Below are 2067 nucleotides of genomic sequence, written 5' to 3'. Positions count from 1 at the left end.
ATTCTTTAATGAATGATTGGTCATTTTCAGAATGTGTTTTAAACCTAGTGATGGCATTCCCAAGCCAGTGGTGGTTGTCTCTGGTGGACACAGGGCACAAATCACAGAACATGGTGAATCCAAAGTACCCAGTTACACTAAGGTTACTCTTTTATATCTAATATTTCCTTTTCAATGTAACCAGTTGCCCTGTGTCTTACTCTATTTCCCTGAAAAGCTTCTATCCCTCTCAGGTTTTCTAAATGCATGGCATGGCCTGGGGCACTGTGGAGGAGAGGAGGTTTGACAATTGTCAGAAGTCCCTGCCCTCCAGGGGCTGCAAATTTAGTGAAGAAGAAAGATGCAGGCAAAAGAGCACAAGGGTGAATTTGAGGATGTTTAACTTCTAATTCTACCTCCTAATTTTCATTAAGAAGGAACCCCTGTGCTAGAACCTCAGCGAACAGTAACTTAGAGGTCATCTAGTGAGCTTGCTGAAGCTTAATTCATCTTATCTCATTTGATAATCCTGAGGATATAAGGAGGCAGGATGTCTATTTTCAGATGAGGGAGTTAATGTTTTGCAGGGTCTCATCAGCTGAAGAGTCATCCATCAGGGAAACCCCAGAGCTGGTCTCCAGGTCCTAAATTGTCTTCCTACCCCGAATCTCAGCTTTGCTTTAGGTGGTCCTGAGTGGAGGGCTGTAAGTAGCACACCCTGTCTCACCAATACTTTGTAATTTAAGAAAATAAGGCTGACCTCTAGGGATTGAACTGTGAAACCACTGTAAACCAAGCCACCATGAAAATGAAATGCTGCCATCATGGGATGAAAGAGCTCTGCAAATAGGAGAGCACAATGTGGGAGCACTTGGGGAGATACCTAAGTGAGAAGGTGCCACATAGAAGTCTTAAGATGAATTGTTGAAAGCCAATTACTGTATCTTGTGGGTGATAGCCAAAGGATAATATGTCACAACAATTTATCCACACTGAGGCACTGGCTCATGGAGCACTTCTCAATACCAAACAGAAATAGATGGTATTTACAGAATAAGGTTTCTAAAAAGACATCCTGCTCTTAAATAGGATGAAATTTGCACAGATAGAAAAAGGAGGGATCGGCCGGGTTCAGTGGCTCAGGCCTGTAATCCCAGCACTTTGGGAGGCTGAGGCGGGTGGATCACTTGAGGTCAGGAATCCAAGACCAGCCTGGCCAACATGGCAAAACCCCATCTCTACCAAAAATACAAAAATTAGCCAGGCATGGTGGCCCATGCCTGTAATCCCAGCTACTTGGGAGGCAGAGGCAGGAGAATCGTTTGAGCCCCAGAGGTGGAGGTTGCAGTGAGTCGCGATCACACCACTGCAGTCAAACTGGGTAACAGAGTGAGATTGCATCTCAAAAAAAAAAAAAAAAAAGGAAAAATAAAAAAAAGAAAAAGGAGGGATCTGGTCGTTTAGTTCAGACTCTAGCAGGAGGTACACCATGACCACATTGTAATTGGACTAAAGGGGATTACTCCTAATTAGCAGATCTAAGAGCTTACAAGACTTTTTGAATAGGAAAGGATGTGCTTCACATTCCAAAGTTACTTCATTAGAAAAAGCAGGGTTGCCCACAAAGGGGAAGTTTAAACCAAGCTTGTTTACATGTTGCATGGCAAGGCGGGATGGGACAACTATTCCATTTACCTACTGCTGTCTAATAAATTACTACCAAAATTAATGGGTTAATATAATAATTTTATCTTTCTTGATTCTGCGGGTTGACTGGACTCAGCTGAATGGTTCTCACTTGGGGTCTCCATGTGTGACAGGCAGAGAGTGGCTGGGACTGCAGCCATCTGAAGGCCAAACATGTCTGGACGCCCAACATGGCTCATCCCCTGGCTGCCAGGTACTACTGGCTGTCAGCTGGGAGTTCAGCTGGGATTCTTTATCAGAATACCTACAAAAGGCTTCCTTACATGCCTTGGGCTTCTCACAGATGGTGGATGTGGACGGATTTGGAAAGGGAAAGTATTGACAGCAAGAGATGCAAGAGAACCAGGCAGAAGCTTTCAAGGATTCTTATGGCCTAACTCC

The sequence above is a fragment of the Homo sapiens genome, chromosome 8 (assembly GCF_000001405.40).
Source record: "Homo sapiens chromosome 8, GRCh38.p14 Primary Assembly".
NCBI classification, from domain to species: domain Eukaryota; kingdom Metazoa; phylum Chordata; class Mammalia; order Primates; family Hominidae; genus Homo; species Homo sapiens.
Note: the sequence above shows the minus strand (reverse complement) of the source record.